This window comes from Homo sapiens, chromosome 11 (assembly GCF_000001405.40).
Source record: "Homo sapiens chromosome 11, GRCh38.p14 Primary Assembly".
Lineage (NCBI taxonomy): Eukaryota > Metazoa > Chordata > Mammalia > Primates > Hominidae > Homo > Homo sapiens.
The window spans coordinates 47,400,343-47,417,070 of record NC_000011.10 but is presented as its reverse complement, the minus strand read 5'-3'; the positions used below and the strand labels follow the sequence as shown (position 1 = coordinate 47,417,070).

The 16,728-nt window shown below is 54.9% G+C and overlaps 1 protein-coding gene, 1 long non-coding RNA gene and 1 other non-coding gene across 33 annotated transcripts in view, besides 8 other annotated features; 1 reads left to right on the top strand and 2 right to left on the bottom strand.

Moving 5' to 3' along the window:
• On the bottom strand, positions 571 to 9,795 carry SLC39A13 (solute carrier family 39 member 13). 27 transcript variants are annotated; one of them, NR_134854.1, is given in 11 exon segments: positions 571 to 746; positions 1,575 to 1,783; positions 1,912 to 2,011; positions 2,166 to 2,294; positions 2,596 to 2,646; positions 3,385 to 3,474; positions 3,564 to 3,671; positions 4,604 to 4,725; positions 5,032 to 5,145; positions 6,676 to 6,984; positions 9,538 to 9,795. NR_134854.1 is itself a non-coding variant. In NM_001441271.1 (11 exons), exons 3-11 carry the CDS (start codon positions 6,974 to 6,976, stop codon positions 1,708 to 1,710), a joined length of 1,095 nt encoding a protein of 364 aa, NP_001428200.1. In that variant the 5' UTR covers positions 6,977 to 6,984; positions 7,408 to 7,486; positions 8,409 to 8,481; the 3' UTR covers positions 575 to 1,707.
• Positions 2,686 to 3,185: an enhancer, noted in NCBI's record as "H3K4me1 hESC enhancer chr11:47435437-47435936 (GRCh37/hg19 assembly coordinates)". NCBI's record gives its function as "activates a minimal SCP1, AML or CMV promoter by ChIP-STARR-seq in naive H9 embryonic stem cells {active_cell/tissue: H9 hESC(naive)}" and the evidence as "EXISTENCE:reporter gene assay evidence [ECO:0000049][PMID:30033119]".
• Positions 6,357 to 7,221: an enhancer, noted in NCBI's record as "H3K4me1 hESC enhancer chr11:47431401-47432265 (GRCh37/hg19 assembly coordinates)". NCBI's record gives its function as "activates a minimal SCP1, AML or CMV promoter by ChIP-STARR-seq in naive H9 embryonic stem cells {active_cell/tissue: H9 hESC(naive)}" and the evidence as "EXISTENCE:reporter gene assay evidence [ECO:0000049][PMID:30033119]".
• Positions 7,222 to 8,088: an enhancer, noted in NCBI's record as "H3K4me1 hESC enhancer chr11:47430534-47431400 (GRCh37/hg19 assembly coordinates)". NCBI's record gives its function as "activates a minimal SCP1, AML or CMV promoter by ChIP-STARR-seq in naive H9 embryonic stem cells {active_cell/tissue: H9 hESC(naive)}" and the evidence as "EXISTENCE:reporter gene assay evidence [ECO:0000049][PMID:30033119]".
• Positions 7,789 to 16,728, top strand: part of SLC39A13-AS1 (SLC39A13 antisense RNA 1) — a 27,668-nt gene continuing 18,728 nt past the window's right edge. For 3 of the 5 annotated variants that reach the window (NR_182307.1, NR_182308.1, NR_182306.1), the window contains exons 1-2: positions 7,789 to 8,119; positions 11,524 to 11,561. This is a non-coding gene — a long non-coding RNA (SLC39A13 antisense RNA 1). The remainder of the gene's footprint in view (positions 8,120 to 11,523; positions 11,562 to 16,728) is intronic. The other 2 variants (NR_182305.1, NR_182304.1) reach the window with 1 other exon arrangement.
• Positions 8,179 to 8,968: a silencer, noted in NCBI's record as "silent region_3328". NCBI's record gives its function as "represses an Ori minimal core promoter by ATAC-STARR-seq in GM12878 lymphoblastoid cells {active_cell/tissue: GM12878}" and the evidence as "EXISTENCE:reporter gene assay evidence [ECO:0000049][PMID:35858748]".
• Positions 8,179 to 9,199: a biological region, named in NCBI's record as "H3K27ac hESC enhancer GRCh37_chr11:47429423-47430245".
• Positions 8,377 to 9,199: an enhancer, noted in NCBI's record as "H3K27ac hESC enhancer chr11:47429423-47430245 (GRCh37/hg19 assembly coordinates)". NCBI's record gives its function as "activates a minimal SCP1, AML or CMV promoter by ChIP-STARR-seq in primed H9 embryonic stem cells {active_cell/tissue: H9 hESC(primed)}" and the evidence as "EXISTENCE:reporter gene assay evidence [ECO:0000049][PMID:30033119]".
• Positions 15,633 to 16,633: an enhancer, noted in NCBI's record as "H3K27ac-H3K4me1 hESC enhancer chr11:47421989-47422989 (GRCh37/hg19 assembly coordinates)". NCBI's record gives its function as "activates a minimal SCP1, AML or CMV promoter by ChIP-STARR-seq in naive H9 embryonic stem cells {active_cell/tissue: H9 hESC(naive)}" and the evidence as "EXISTENCE:reporter gene assay evidence [ECO:0000049][PMID:30033119]".
• Positions 16,029 to 16,101, bottom strand: MIR4487 (microRNA 4487). Its single transcript, NR_039707.1, has one exon. It is a non-coding gene; the product is annotated as a microRNA 4487 (primary transcript).
• Positions 16,683 to 16,728: part of a silencer, noted in NCBI's record as "silent region_3327", that runs on past the window's edge. NCBI's record gives its function as "represses an Ori minimal core promoter by ATAC-STARR-seq in GM12878 lymphoblastoid cells {active_cell/tissue: GM12878}" and the evidence as "EXISTENCE:reporter gene assay evidence [ECO:0000049][PMID:35858748]".

Sequence of the window (16,728 nt, the reverse complement as noted above, 5' to 3'; positions counted from 1 at the left end):
GTCAAGGTGGAATGGGGGGCAGGTGGGGAAAATGCTCCAGCTTTCAGGTCTATAAGGACAGCACTAACTGGGTGCGGTGGCTCACACCTGTAAGCCCAGCACTTTGGGAGGCTGAGGCGGGCAGATCACAAGGTCAGGAGTTCAAGACCAGCCTGGCCAATATGGCAAAACCCTATCTCTACTTTTAAAAAAAAGCCAGGCGTGGTGGCACACACCTGTAAATCCCAGCTACTTGGGAGGTTGAGGCAGGAGAATTGCTTGAACCCAGGAGGCGGAGGTTGCAGTGAGCCAAGACCGCACCACTGCACTCCAGTGTGGGTGACAGAGTGAGACTCTGTCTCAAAAAAAAAAAAAAGATAAGGACAGCGTCCTGGAGTTTGTGGTGGTGAGGGGCTAAAATGGCATACGGCCAGGCTCATATAGGTGCTCAGTCATTGGAATAAAAAGTTAAGCCAGGAAGACATGGAACGTTCAGAGATGCACTGGGGTGACAGTTCAGAGACAAGGGCCTGGCAGTGGCAGTAAGGAAGGCCCTGCCTGGCCATGGAAGGCCGTGCAGAACCAAGGCAGCCAGTATGTGGATAATATTTATTTGTATCTTATCTATAGAACAAATATTTACAGATACAAACGGAATCACAGCAAAGTTGCTATAAAACCATCCAGACCTCTCGATGGCCACTTCTGAAAACATCCACGGTGAAGGGCAGGGCCAGGCCTGGCTGTGGAGTGGGCCAGCTGAGTACCTGGGCGTCAGCCAAGGGAAATGGTTGGGGATTATGGCTTCAGCACTCTGCCGGAGCACATTCCTGAGCGCTGACAACGTGGAGCCCTCACCGCCCCCACCTACCCCAACCTCAATGGGGAAGGAAAGGGGCCTGAGCTGGGCAGGGCTGCCCGGGCTCACTATGTGCCTGCTCCAGGAGTCCCTGGCCCCTGTGCTGGCAGGAGCATCCCTGAGCTGGACCGGGAGGCCTCTCTGGCCTGGGGCTGCTCCCTGCCCGGCAGGCTGCTGTTTGGCAGCTGGAGGTGGCAAGAGCTGCTGGTGCTGCCAGGGCGTGTTGGCCAGGAATGAGCTCCCAGGGCAGCCCTGAGGAAAGGGTCTTAGGAAGCGCCTCCCAGCTCACTACTAGGAGCTGGGGACTGTCAGTGCTGAGTGGGGCTGGGGTACAGGAGCACCTGCCTCTCCTTTCTTTGGCTTAGAAGTGGGGAAGGAAGGGCCAGGAAAAGGGACCAAAGCCGCCCCAGCCTTGGCCCCTAGGCCGCCTGGGGACTGTGTGTGTGCTGAGGGGGCAGTGGGAGGTGGGCAGCTCTGGAGTTCCCTGCACCCTGGATCCTTGGGCTGCTCTCACTCCCGGGGTCCCAGCAGGGCAAGGCCTCTGCTTGGGACCAGTGCTGCTCTTCCTCGCTGCTTACTCCGGGAGGTGAAGGTGACAGGGCGGCAAGGAGAGGTAACCACAGCATGGCTGGGGACAGGCGCTACACTGGGCCCCGGACCCAGCACAGGGATCACAGTGTCGGTCTCGCGCACACACCTCTGGCCACATGTGCACACCACATACATCCACACGCACCTCCCTCCTGTCTGGCGGGAGGCTCATTCTCTCTCGCAGCCACTCGCCCTCTCTGCCTCTCACATATGCGGTCACAGAGTGAATCCGAGCATCTTATTGCTGCAGGGGGCAGGGGCGTCGGCATCAGGGAAAGTTAATCCACGAAGAGCGAGAACAGCACCATTACCACGATGCCCGCACAGAGCAGAAGCAGCTGCTGCAGGGAGCGCCTGTGGGGAGGGAACGGCTCACGGTGGAGGCATGGGCAGGGGGAGCAGGCAGCGGCCAGGAGCCCTTCCCTCCTGAGCCCCTAAGGGCCCTGTGAGTGGCAGTCCTCTTCCTCCAACAGGTCACTCACCACGGGTCCTCTTCTTCCAAGAGGTCAGGGAGCACGTTCACCAAGGCGATGTAGAGAAAGCCGCCAGAGGTGAAGGGCAGGACCCAGGCTGCCGTCTCCTCTGCAGCGGGAGAACACCCAACTGGGTACCCAAGGCACTGTGTGTGCTCCCCACCTCCCGGGCCTGGGGACCAGCAGTGCGGTAGCCACACCCTTTGGCTGGTGCCCCTCTGCTGATGCCACCCGCCACAACCACCCGCCACGCCCGTACCTACTCCCTTGGGGGACTGGGTACAGATGGCGAAGCCAGCGCCCAGTAGGCCCCCCAGCGCTGTTGAGAGTTGCAGCTTGGCTGCGCTCCATCGGTCAAAGCCGGCCCGGAGCAGGATGGCAAAGTCGCCCACCTGAAGGGAGGTCCAGAGGTTCACCCTGCGCCCCAGCGGGGCCTGATGCCCTGAGTGCTCAGGTACGATATACACACTGAGCCCCCTGCCCTTCCCCACCCTTCCCCTGGGACCCCCATCCTGAGTATGGCAGAGATGGCAGCTGCAGGCTGCTGGGGTGAGGAGCTCCAGCCCTCACAGCCCAGCCCCAGAGTGCCATGCTGGACAGGCCCAGCCCCACACCCTCCTGAGCTCCACACCCATGCTGATCATGGGCACTGTGGGGGCCTGGGCCCCTGGGGGCTGCCCTACAAGCGCTCACCTCATGGGGGATCTCATGCAGGAGGATGGCCATGGTTGTCAGGAGCCCGATCTGCAGGGAGGGGAGCCGTGGCTGCGGGGTCTGTGTTGAGGGCTGAGCACCCCACTCGCCCACTCATTCCACAGAGGTTTACTCTGCTCTGAGCTGGCTCTGGGTGGGCACTGTGTTGGCCACTGGAAATACAGCAGTGACTAAAGGGGACAAGGAACCTGCCTTCACGAAGCTAGCGGTATAGAGGGGAGAGACAGGACTCACTCACACACTCACAGGCGCTGGGAAGGAAAGGATGGATAGAGTGCCCAGGGGAGCAGGCCCAGGAACCAAATTTAGATGAGGAGGTCAGCAAAGGCCTGGTGGAGGAGTCCATGTAAGTCGAGGCCCCAAGGATGAGTCGTCAGCCGCTCGAAGCGTGGGCGGGAGAACATTCCAGGCAGGGGGAACAGTGTGAGGTGGGAAAGATCTCGGCCAGCTGCAGAGTAGGCTGCCTCTGGGCCAGAGGCCAGAGGCCAGAGGGAGGAGGTAGAGGAAGAAGCATCTAGGAGCAGGCAGGGGCCACGCCTAGCAGCTTGACAGAGGCACCCAACAAGGAGTACTGGGAACAGGAACAGACCAGGGGCTCAGGATCAGAGAACAGTGGCGGCCAGGACAGCAGCAGGGAGGATGGGGGATGAGAGCCTTAGATGAGGGCGCTGGCAATGGAGGGGCAAGAAGCAGAGACTCCAGACACAGGTGGAATCCACATGGCTGCCACTGGAATCGCCAGAGCCCCACTGGCCCCAAGCCCCTCACCTTCTTGCTCACAAGGAAGCTGGCAGCCACAGCCAGCCCGTGGGTGAAGTTATCGATGGTGTTGGCCAGCAGGTTGAGGTAGCCGCTGACCTGGGAAGGAGGGAAGGCAGGAGGCAGGGCTGAGTGGGGCTGGCCACTCAGGGCAGTACGGCTGCAGGGGCCCTGAGCAGGCCACTCACTTTGATGCTCCGGACCACGGCACCGAGGCCGGGCTCTGCAGCCGGCTGGGCCAGACAGTGGCCTCCATTGAGCGCGGCGGCAGCAGCAGTGGGGTCTTTGTTGGGGGCCTAGGGCCAGGAGAAGGAGGGAGAGGTGACATTAGATGCCCCCCACTCAGCCAGGGCAGACAGAAGGGGAGAGAGATGGAGAAAGAGAGACGGGGGCTGGGTGCAGTGGCTCATGCCTGTAATCCCAGCACTTTGGGAGCCCAAGGCAGATGGATCACCTGAGGTCAGGAGTTCGAGACCAGCCTGGCCAACATGGTGAAACCCCACCTCTACTAAAAATACAAAAATTAGCTGGGCGTGGTCCCAGCTACTTGGGAGGCTGAGGCAGAAGAATTGCTTGAACCTGGGAGGTGAAAGCTGTAGTGAGCCGAGATCGCGCCACTGCACTCCAGCCTGGGTGACAGAGCGAGACTCTTCTCAAAAAAATAATAATAATAATTGGGAGGCTGAGGTGGGTGGATCAAGAAGTCAAGAGATCGAGACCATCCTGGACAACATGGTGAAACCCCGTCTCCACTAAAAATACAAAAGTTAGCTGGGCATGGTGGCGCGCACCTGTGGTCCCAGCTACTCGGGAGGCTGAGGCAGGAGAATCGCTTGAACCCGGGAGGCAGAGGTTGCCGTGAGCCACGATCGTGCCACTGCACTTCAGCCTGGGTGACAGAGCGAGACTCCGTCTCAAAAAAAAAAAAAAAAAAAAAGATAGGAACCCCTGTTTTTTCTAGCTAGAATCCTCTGCTGCTATATCAGTTGGGTGCCCCCAAACTCAACAAACCCTCCCCAACTGCTGTCACCATCAGGCTACCAGAACAAGCTACATCAGGGGCTAATGGTGTCAGTCCCAAAGAAGGTGGCCCAACCTCCCGCAGCTCCCAGGAGAGGGCCAGGAGACCCCTCTTTTCAGGGCTCAACTCAGACCCTGGGCCTCCAGGCCCCGGGCACTACCACAGAACAGAGGCTGATATATCCAGGCCCTTGAGTGTGGGGCCCACCTGGCTGGTCCCCTCCTCCTTGCTGTCCAGGAACATCTTCTCCAACGCCAGGAAGGTCAGGATGCCAGCAATGACCCACAGCCCCAGCTGTTGCTGCTGCTGCAGGCTCTGCCCCTCACCACCTGCAGGGGGCGGCAATGCCAGGCCAGGCCAGGCCAAGCCAAGCCAGGGCCATAGGAGGGGGCCATTTGGAATGGGATCTCATCCAGGGCACCAGGGCAGTGACAAGGGTGGGTTGGGCAGCTGGGGCCCAGAACTCCCACTGGGACCAGGGCCCAGAGACCAGGACAATGACCCTCCCTCCCTCCCAGGCAAGCTCCTGCCAGAAACCCAGAATCCCTCTCCTGGTCATCCTGGCCATCCCTGGGCGTGGGCACCAGGCCCCCACTCCTGGCACTGTCTTGCCCCTGGCGTGTGGCCTCACTTACCAGGGCTGGCGCTGCACGTGTAGGCCCAGGCTTCGGGCAGCAGATGCAGAAACACATTGCCCAAGAGTCCCCCCAGGGCGAAGCTGAGCAGCTGCTTCAGGCGCCAGGCCCCAGCTACAAGGGAGAGATGCGGGGTCTGGGGGCTGACTGGCTGGAGCTCCTGGCCTGACCTTCATCCCACCCCACTCACTGGGCTCTTTCTGGGCCTGCAAGGCTGGATATGGGTGGCTGCTCTTCCTGGGTCCCCCACCTCACAGCAGAAACACCACACCCTGCCAAATGCCCACAGGGCCACCACCATGTCATGGTGAAGAGCTGACAGGTCCCAGCTCCCAACCCACTAGCTGGTGACCTTGGCAGATGACTTTGGAGACTCGGTTTCTCCATCTGTAAATTGGGTCTTATGGGAATTATTATTTTATCTTGTTTTGTTTTGAGATGGAGTCTCGCTCTGTTGCCCAGGCTGGAGTGCAGTGGCGTGATCTTGGTTCACTGCAACCTCCATCTCCCAGGTTCAAGCGACTCTCCTGCCTCAGCCTCCTGAGTAGCTGGGATTACAGGTGTGTGCCACCACATCCGGCTAATTTTTGTATTTTTGGTAGAGACGGGGTTTCATCATGTTGGCCAGGCTGGTCTCGAACTCCTGACCTCAGGTGATCTGCCCACCTCAGCCTCCCAAACTGCTGAGATTACAGCTGTGAGCCTTTTATGGGCTCTTATGGGAATTAAATGACAATATGTACAGCAAGTGCTCATTACGTGGGAATTTTTCTCTTCTCAGCTGCTGTCACTCTCAGAAAAGTGGCAGAGATTTGGGGACTTGCAGCATCCAGGGTTGGAAGTCGCCTGCCTGAAAGCCATGTCCAACCCTTTGGCTTGATAGAGAAACTGAGGCCTAGAGGACAGAGGCAGCTGGGTTTGGGGTGGGATCCCAGGGGAAACTGCTATTTCCTGGCTGGGTGACCTTGGACTGGTCAAAGAACCTCTCTGTGCCTGTGCATCCCCACTTGTAAAATGGAACTAATAATCCAGGTGCTCCCTGCACTGACCCCGCAGGGCTGCTCTGAGGGTTGAGCACAGGCCTGACCATGGCCCAAGCAGGGCTCTATTCACAGCTGTGGCACCGCCCTCAGCCCAGTGCCTGGCACAGAGCTGCTGGGTAACCATCTGGTAAGTGAATGGTTCCTGAGCATCCAGCTGGCAGCACCAGCCCCTGGGATGCTCGTTTCTAACAGATTCCCAGGGCCTTGGTCCACCCCTCTTAGGTGGGGGATAGGCACGTGCATTCTTAGCAGCTCCCTAGAGCTCTCCTGCGTGTTTTGTTACAACATGTTATTTGTGAACGGGCAGTACATGCTCATGGTACAAAAGGGTAGTCAGGACAAAGCTCCCACCCGTGCCCACATCCCCATCTCCTAGACCCCCTCCCCAGGGGCAGGCCCTGCTACCAGGTGCTCATAGCTTCCTGGGGAAGCCAGAGCCAGCCGCCCCTGGCTAGATAGCTCCTACAGGACCAAGGGGAGAAGTTCTATTCTATCCTCTCCCTCCATCTCAGACACTCTGTGACCTGGGGTCTCCTAAGAAGAGCAGCAGCATGCTTCCCACACCCTGGCCAGCCCTGGGCGCCACCGGAGAGTCACCTACCTTCTGAGCGCAGCATGGTCCCCATCTCTAGGGGAATGACAAGCAACGGGAAGACCCCACTGAGCCCCACCATGAGGGAACCCAGGAGGGAGCAGATCCAGGTGTCCAGCCGCTCTCCGCTCAGCAGAGCCCCCCAGGACTCGCTTTCCTTGTTGTCCAGGCGACAGGCCGTCGCAGTCCCCCGGCTCCGGAGGGCCGGCTGGGAACCCCCAGCCCTTTCCAAGAGCTCCAGGGCAAGGGCAGTGAGGAAGAGGAGCCTTGGGCCCGCCATGCCACAGCCAGGGCAGGGACATCCAGGCATGCCACGTACTGAAAAACACAAAAGGCCACCTATATGAGCTACAGCCTTGGCCGCACACCTGCTTAGGAAACGTGGCGCCTCCCTCCTCCCCGCAAGGGACCCTGGCATCCACCCTCCTGCTGTCCTTGCCAGAGCGTCTGAGCATCCAAATGCTGGGTGCACAGCAATGGGGCCCTGTGTCTCCACACCCTACTCCTGAGCACTGCGTATTTTTTCCTTCTGAGCAGCTCCAGACTGTGTCAGCACCTCCGCCTGAGGCTAAACTTTCCCTAATGACAGGGTGAGGCGCTGGCTGGCTCTCCTCAGCCACCGGCGGCACGGCCCGGCCCAGCTGGGTGTCTCTGGCTGCCAGGGGAGGCCCTGCCGCCCGCGACACCCCAGAGACTGAGGCACCCCTTCTAAGGGGATGGGGTGGATTCAGAGAGACATACGTGGGGAAACTGAGCAGATGAGCCAGGGCAAGACCATCCACGCTTCTTCCTAGGACATGAGACCAATGTCCCCAGGGCACTGAGGGCAACAGGAGATGGGGCTGATGAGGAAGGAGCCTTTAGCCAGGGGATGCCTCTCTCTTGTATAGCGCAGGCTTTAGAGCCCCCACGGTGAATTCTATGCTGCACTTTGAGCTGTCTAACTCTGGGCAAATCTCTGAAGCCCCCCCTCTGAGCCTCAGTGCCCTCATCTGCAGGACAGGGATCAATATCACCTGCCTCAGCTGTGAGGACGAGATAAGCCTGAAAGTGCAGGTGGATGTACCCGGCATGAGGAGGCGCAGAGGCCCTGCCTGTGCCAGGGAAGGCCTGGGGCTCCCTGCAGCAGGAATGTGCCCAGCCGGCCGATCACAGGATGTGGACGTGAGTCAACCAAGCGAGAAGTTCCATCTGGAAACTCGGGCATGAGGTTTAAATGTGGTCTGCTCTGCCTCAGGCTGGCTGTGACCTTGAGCTGGTGATGTCCCTGCCTCAGTTTCCTCACCTTCTGATGGAGATGGGAGGGGAAGAAAGCAGCTGCCTCTGGGTGGTGGCAGAGATGCCCATGTCTAGGACCTCCAGGCCTTAACTAATCAGGGGCACTGATGAAGCCAGCGGGGCTCCACTGGGGACCACAGGCAAGACTGGGCCAGGACGAGGCGGTCACGCAGAGGTGAGGGGACCACAGGCTAGCGGGAGGGAATACACGGAGAGTCCAAGGGGAGAGGAAAGTAGAGAGTGAGAGAGCTAGAGAGAGGCGGGTGGGACGCGGAGAGGACAGCGAGGGAGGGATGGGGCGTGGGGCGCGGAGCGATGGGGGAGAGGAGGCCGAAGCGGGCGAGCCTGACTCCCGGGTCCTGGGAGCCGGCCCAGGTCTGATGAGGACCAGTCGGACGGGGCGAGGGATCGGCCGGGTCCATCACGCCCGGGGCGCGGGCCCCGAGGGTCCTGCTGGCACTCACCGTGCGGCGGCGGCGGCGGCGATCCGGGCGGCCCCAGCCATCCAGCTGCGGTGCCGCGCCCCGCCCAGGCTCTGCCCCGCCCGGCCGCCCGGCCGCCCGGCCCCCGGCCCGGGGCCGCCCCCGGCGCGCGGCCACGTCACAAGGGGCCTGTCCGGAACCCGAGGCGCCGCGTGCCGCGGGGTCGGGGGGAGTGGCGGCGGGAGGGCGCTTCCGCCTCGCGGCGGTGGGGGACCCGGGTAGAGGGCGCACTTCCGTTTGGGCAGGGCTGCGGGCCGGAGGGGAGGGTCGGTCGGAAGTGAGAGAGCCACACGCACCGCGCTCAGCCAGGCTGGGCAGGGACGGAAGCGGCGGCTCTGCGGGGACCGCGATCGACCAGGCTGCGGGGCTTGCGGATCTGGCCGCCGCTTCCCGTCCAGGGCCGCAGTCTGCCCGTGGCCGCACGGGGGCGCGCCCGGCCGCCAGACCACGCCGCCCAGGTCGGGCTGGGAGGACTACTGTGCGCTCCTGCTCTGAGTCAGCCCGGCCTGGCTCCTCCATGAGCAAGGGAAAGGGGAAGTGCCTGCCGCAGGGAGGGGCCTGGCCCCGGGAACCTCAGAAGAGGGAATTTTATTCTTACTCATCGAATTATTTTTATGCTTTGGTTTTTCACTGGGAACCTCAGGCCACTGTCTCCAGGGCTTGTAACCCTTTGGGGTCCAATGCATGGTGGCTGGACCCTGCTGATGGGAACTCCAAACCTGGGAGGCGAGGGCTCTGTGCTTCCCTCACCTGGAGGAAGCTAGACCTGACCTCTTTGGTTAGACTAAGGCAGCAAACACTGGATAGCAGTTCTTATAACCGCAATTTACTGACCACCTACTATGTGCTATTCACTTTACTCGCACTATCTCACTGAATCCTCATATTATCCCATTGTGGTGGGTACTGTTAGCCCAGGGTCACACAGTGGCACAGATGGCAGAGCCAGGATTCAAACCTGGGTGTCCTGAAGCCAGAGTATGTGATACCACTTCTCACGTCTAGGTCCTGAACAGCAGTGGGAGTCTGGCTTGGCGTTTCGAGTTTGTATTCTTCTCTGGAAATCAGCCAGTACAGGAGAAGATTCAGGAAGGGGCATGTGGGTACTCACTTGGGCAGAGATAGCGACTGAGTACAGGTCTCTTAAGTCTCTGACCCTCATCAGCCTCCCATGGCAGCTCCAACCATTTACTCTGTCACTTTCCCCTCTGCTGGGGCTCTTGAGAGCACACTCAGCTCTCAGGGCTGCCTCTGGTGCCTGTCCCACTTCATGTTGCACTGTTGGCCTTCCTTAGACCGCCAACTTCTCCCTGGTGGCCCAGCTTGTCTTCTGAAGCTTTCTGTCCATCTCACCCCACCGGGCCCATACAACTGCCAGGACGTTCTGTTCCCTCCCTGAGTTCCAAAATGGAATCCCTGGGTTAGTTTCTTGGCAAAGAAAAGCTACTCAGGGATCCTGCCCTAGGACTTCTAAAATGCCCCCCTCCCTGTATGCAAAAGCGCTCCATCTTATGCAAAGCACTTCACAATATGCAAATGATTTCACAATAACACAGTCAGCATTCCTGCCTCTGGAGGCTGAGCGCTCCTGGCCACCCAACAAGGGGATGGGCAAGACCCAGCCAGAAACGTTACTTGGTGCCAATGCACTACCCTTTCCTCCCACCTGGCCTGGAATTCCCATCGGATACCTAAGGCCCGGTGGCTCACATCTGTAATCCCAGCACTTTGGGAGGCCTAGGAAGGAAGATCTTTTGAGCCCAGGAGTTCCAGACCAGCCTGGGTAACAAACTGAGAACTGGTCTCTACAAAAAAATTTAAAATTAGTCAGGTGTAATGGTGCGCACCTGTAGCCCCAGCTACTCAGGAGGCTGAGGTGGAAGGATTGCTTGAACCCGGGAGGTCAAGGCTGCAGTGAGCCCTGATCGTGCCACTGCACTCCAGTCTGGGTAACAGAGCGAGACCCTGTCTCAAAAATAAAAAAATAAAAAAAATTACAAATTAATAAAATTGCAGGGGTTTCCAGGTGTGTGAGAAAAGTGAGATGCAGAAATATTTATTTAATATGATCCACTATTTTTATTTTTTAAGAGACTATTTTAAAATAATGACAAAAAGAAACCTTGTATATGTGTATGTGATTAAAGGTATCAGTATATATAAGTCTATGTATAATGAATACATAAAAAACATAGATAACACATTAAAGTGATATTATGGATTCTATGGTGGGAGGAACTAATGTGAATAGGGAAGGAAAAAATGTTAAAGGAAAACAACACATTAAAAGATGTGTATGGCCATATATGGCTGGGCATGGTGGCTTATGCCTGTAATCCCAGCACTTTGGGAGGCCAAGGTGGGCAGATCACCTGCGGTCGGGAGTTCAAGACCAGCCTGACCAACATGGAGAAACCCCCTCTACTAAAAATACAAGATCAGCCAGGTGTGGTGGCGCATGCCTGTAATCCCAGCTACTCGGGAGGCTGAGGCAGGAGAATCGCTTGAACCTGGGAGGTAGAGGTTGCAGTGAGCCGAGATCGCGCCATTGCACTCCAGCCTGGGCAACAAGAGCGAAACTCCATCTCAAAATAAATAAATAAAAGGTGTATATGATCACATGTATGCAATGTGTAAAATTGTATACATATATCAAATCTCATCTCAGATATATGAAAATCTCACTATATAAAATCTCTTTCTCTTTCTCTTTTTTTTTTTTTTTTTTTTGAGACAGGGTCTCACTCTGTCACCCAGACTGGAGTATAGTGGCATGATCTCGGTTCACTGCAACCTCCGCCTCCCAGGCTCAAGTAATTCTCCAGCCTCAGCCTCCCAAGTAGCTGGAATTATAGGCATGGGCCACTACTTCCCGGCCAATTTTTGTAGTAGAGACAGGGTTTCACCATGTTGGCCAGGCTGGTCTTGAACTCCTTACCTCAAATGATCCACCCGCCTCAGCCTCCCAAAGTGCTGGGATTATAGGCGTGAGCCACTGCACCTAGCCTCTGTCTTTCTCTCTCTCTCTCTCTCTCTGGCTTACCTCTTGGTGTCTTGGTGGTTAAGACAATACGATTCTTTGTTTTGTTTTGTTTAGAAAGAAGATAAAAGGGAACAGAAGAGAAAATTCAAAAGGTGAATATAACAAATTTTTTTTTAACTCTGTCACCCAGGCTGGAGTGCAGTGGTGTGATCACAGCTCACTGCAGCTTCGATCTCCTGGGCTCAAGCAATCCTCTCGCCTCGGCCTCCCAAAGCACTGGGATTATAGGCGTGTGCCACTGTGCCCATTCAAGACAGTAAGATTCTGATGCCAGACTTCCTGGGACAAATTACTTAACTCCTTATGCCTCAGTTTCCTCATCTCGAAATTAGACTTAGATGTTGTTGTGAAGATTAAATGGATAAATACAGACAAAGCACTTAGAACTATGCCTGACATATGGGAAGTTTTATATAGAGCTAGAAATTAATGCTGTTTATATGTATGGATATATGGGTATAAAAATATTAAAGCAACATAAAGAATAGCTACATTAAAGATACAGAGTGGGGACACCCTCTCTCCTTGCTAAGCATAAGAAAGTGTTTTTTTGTTTTGTTTTGTTTTGTTTTTTGAGATGGAGTCTTGCTTCGTCACCCAGGCTGGAGTTCAGTGGCGCGATTTCGGCTCACTGCAACCTCTGCCTCCCAGGTTCAAGCAATTCTTCTGCTTAAGCCTTCTGAGTAGCTGGGACTATAGGCACTCACCACCACGCCCAGCTAATTTTTTATATTTTTAGTAGTGACAGGGTTTCACCATGTTGGTCTCGAACTCCTGACCTGGTGATCTGCCCGCCTCCGCCTCCCAAAGTGCTGGGATTACAAGTGTGAGCCACCGCTCCCGGCCTGTTTTGTTTTTTGTTTTTTGTTTTGTTGTTGTTGTTTGAGACGGAGTCTTGCTCTGTCACCAGTCTGGAGTGCAGTGGCACGATCTTGTCTCACTGCAGCCTCCACCTCCCGGGTTCAAGCCATTCTCCTGCCTCAGCCTCCTGAGTAGCTGGGATTACAAGCTCCCGCCACCACTCCCGGCTAATTTTTTTATTTTTAGTAGAGACGGGGTTTCACTATGTTGGCCAGGCTGGTCTTGAACTCCTGACCTTGTGATCCGCCCGCCTCAGCCTCCCAAAGTGCTGGGACTACAGACGTAAGCCACCAGGCCCGGCCTGTTTTTTTGTTTTTGAGTTGGAGTCTTGCTCTGTCACCTAGGCTGGAGTGCAATGGTGTGATCTCAGCTCACTGTAACCTCCGCCTCCCAGGTTCACGTGATTCTTATGCCTCAGCCCCCCGACTACAGGCACCCACCACCATGCCCGGCTAATTTTTGTATTTTTGGTAGAGACGGGGTTTCAACATGTTGGCCAGGCTGGTTTTGAACTCTTGACCTCAGGTGATCTGCCCTCCTCGGCCTCCCAAAGTGTTGGGATTACAGGCGTGAGCCACTGCACCCAGCCACAAATGAGTGTTTTCTGACATATTTATCAGTTGGTTTGGAGGCCATAGGGTTTTCCTGGGTTGAAGCACTGGACAAACTTCAGCAGAGCTGGATGGGCCTGGGTACTGCGTGGCTCTAAGTGGCTGAGAGGTGTCTGGGATCAGGGAGCCACAGATCTATTTCTCTGACTTCACTGCAATGCCCAGAATCTGACTTTAACCCCTTGTTCCTGTCTCTGGCCCCTGCAAGACTGGCTGGCCTGGCAATGGCCAATGCTTTGACATCCTTCCCTCCACTCTGGCAATCGAGGGCTAGAGACTTGGGCTGGGGATGGATACTTCCAGAGTGTGGTCTCTAGTGAGATATCTGGCCTTATCCTTGTCACAGGGCTTCCTCCCGTGGGGGTCAGCAGGAAGATAGCAGTCTCTTATTGAAAGGCATATGGGGCTCAGGATGGTAATCACATTACGCAGGGTCACAGCTAAAAAGAGGCACAGCAGCTCCCCCAGGGCCACAGGTTCAGCTTCTCCAAAGGAGCCCTGCCCCTCTGAAACCCCTGACCCCAATCCTTTCTCAATCCTTCTTTCCAGGGTAGCCTTAGCTCCCTCATGAGTTCCTGGGGTATTTTCTCCACTGAATCCTAAGCCCTGGCTGGGCAATGCTCCAGTGACCCCACAGGGCCTCTCCCCTCTTCCCTTGCCACCAGCAGCTCCACCATGAACAGCTGAGTCCCACTACTCTCTGTCCAGCCTCTCCACTGTGGCAAGTTCTGTCACCCCCACCCCACTCTCGGCAGGCCTGGGATGTCCTTCCCCTTTCGCCATCTCAGTCGATTGAAACCTAGCCTGTTGACAAGGCCACCTCCTCCCTGCAGCCTTCCTGACCTGTCCATTCTGAAGGCTCTGCATGTCGGTGTGTCTTTGGATCCCTTAGCCTTGTCCCCTGGATACACAGGCCTCTTTCCCTGCCAGGTGTGGGCTGCTAGAAAAAGCAAGCTTTTGCCCATACTCTGAATAAAAGTTTATCCAAATCAATTTCATGTCTCCCATTCCCCTTCTCTTGTCTCAGGTGCACAAATTGGGGTGAAATCCTTGTGCGTTCTGCACTGCCCTTTTGGTCCCTGCAAGGCTCTTGTTTAATTTTTGTGTTGATTTACATCTTTCCTTACTTGTTACCCTTCCCCTATCCCATCTCCCTGTCTCCTCCTTCAGTGAAACCTGAATTTTGTGATGATCAGTCCTTTGCTTTTTATTTTTCTTTCTTTCTTTTTTTCTTTTTGAGACAGATTCTAGCTCTGTCACCCAGGCTGCAGAGCAGTGGCGCAATCTCAGCTCACTACAACCCCTGCCTCCCAGGTTCAAGCGATTCTCCTGCCTCAGCCTCCCGAGAAGCTGGGACTATAGGCGCCCACCATGCCCAGCTAATTTTTGTGTTTTTAGTAGAAACAGGGTTTCACCATGTTGGCCAGGCTGGTCTTGAACTCCTGACCTCAAGTGATTCGCTGGTCTCGGCCTCCCAAAGTGCTGGGATTACAGGTGTGAGCCACCACGCCTGGCCTTTCTTTTTTTAAAATTAGAGATTTTAATTTTAATTTTAAAATTTTTTTAAAATTGTTGCCCAGGCTGGTCTCAAGCTTCCGGGCTCACATGGTCCTCTGGCCCCAGTCTCCCAAGAAGCTAGGACTACAGGCACACACCACCACACCTGACTCTTGCTTTTATTTTTTTGATAAAGCTTTTTCTGACATATGTATGTATACCTAGACAATATTCCATTTGAATTGGCTTTTTTAAAAAAAAAACTATTTTAAGGTTTTACATTATTTAGTGAATTTAACAATTGTTTTCCTATAGGTTCTGCATAATTATTACCAAGTTTACTTCTAGATATTTTATATTTGTGGGGATATATATATATATATATATATATATATATTTTTTTTTTTTTTTTTTTTTTTTTTTTTTTGAGACAGAGTCTCACTCCGTTGCCCATGCTGGAGTATAGCACAATCTCCGCTGACCACAACCTCGGCCTTCTGGGCTCAAATGATCCTCCCACTTCAGCCTCCCAAGTAGCTGGGACCACAGGCACAAACCACCATGCTCGGCTAATTTTTTTTTGGTATTTTTTGTAGAGATGGGGTTTTGCCATGTTGCCCAGGCTGGTCTTGAACTCCTGGCCTCCCAAAGTGCTAGGGACACAGGCTTGGGCTACCATGCCCAGCCTAGAGTCTTTTATGTGGGTAATCATACCATCTCCTAATAACAAAGGTATTAGAAACAGGGAAGGAACATTGTTATTTGTAAAGATATGGCTTGGCTTGGTTTTGAACTTCATGAGAAGGGTAAGGACAGCTGTCCTTTGGCGTCCTGGCGGGGATGGGGGGGAGTTGGTTCCAAGACCCCCTGAGGATACCAAAATCCACAGATGCTCAATCCCTGATATAAAATGGTGTGGTATTAAATATTTGCATATTTAGCCTACCACATCCTCCCATATACTTTAAATCATCTCTAGATTGCCGAAAACAATGTAAATGCTATGTTAATCGCTGTTACATGGTATTGTTTGGGGAACAATGACAAGAAAAAAAGTCTGTACATGTTTAGTACAGACACAACCATCCATTTTTTTCTCCAAATATTTTCCATCCGAGGTTGGTTGAATCCATGGATGTGGAACCCAGGGATACAGAGAGCCGCAAGTATCCATCTTCTGGGACTGACTTTTTCCACTCAATACCATGGTGCAAAGATTCCTTCATGATATTGGTGAACCTGTGGGTCACCTGCTTGCATTGCTGAATGATCTCCACCCTGTGAATGTGTCTACTGTAATTTATTTATCCATTCTCTTATCAGTGGGCCCTGGGGTTATTTCAGGATTTTTTTTGCTATTAGGGACAACGTGAATATTTTTGTCCCTGTCTCTTGGCGCACTTGTCAGAGAACTTATCTTGATTTGCTGCCTGGGGGGATGTGTGGGTGACAGCCTCTGTACCTCCACTTCGTGAGATAAGGCCAGATTGCTCTCCCTAGGGGGCTATTTGGAGCCGCATCCTGACTAGCCACATGCAGGAGGGCCTGCTGCTCCCCTCCTTGCCAGCTCTGGCTGAAGGACAGTTCCCTTCTGCCCTTCAGCCAGCTCTGGCTGAAGGACAGTTCCCTTCTGCCCTTCAGCCAGCTCTGGCTGAAGGACAGTTCCCTTCTGCCCTTCAGATGGTGTAAATAGCATCTCATTGTGGTCTGAATTTGCATCGCCCTCATCAGCAGTGAGGCTGAGCCTCCCTTAGATGGTATTTGAGCAAATTCGTTTTCTCTGCCCTAACATGCCTGCGCTGCGTGTGTGTTATCTATTTTTTTATATTGGATTGCTTGATTTTCTTTTCCTTGATTTGCAAGAGTTCCTTATGTATTTTTGAGGCTATGCCCCGCTGCACTCCGCAGGCATCTCCAGTTGTGACTTCCTTTTCACTTTCTCTGAGGTGTCTCCGCTTCTCTCTCCCCCCCCCACACCTGTCCCAGGGAGGCCACTTGGCATTGTTAGTGTGGGGGGAGGTCGTGTGCCTCTCAGAGCCCTGTTTAAACTGACTCCACTGTTCCTCTTGTCCCTGGGGCCTTAAGGAACCCCTTTCCTCTTCCTTCTCAGACCCCCTCCCATTTTTGGCGAAGACAACTTAGTTTGGGGAGCTCCTATTGGGTTGTGGGCGAGTATCCCGGGACAACTCGGGCCTCACTGCAATGGTGTCCCCCCCCCCCCGTCTCGGTTATTTATCACTTCCGGCTGCCCACCTGGGGGGGCTGGGCCCCCTCTCCGCTCGACTGGGCC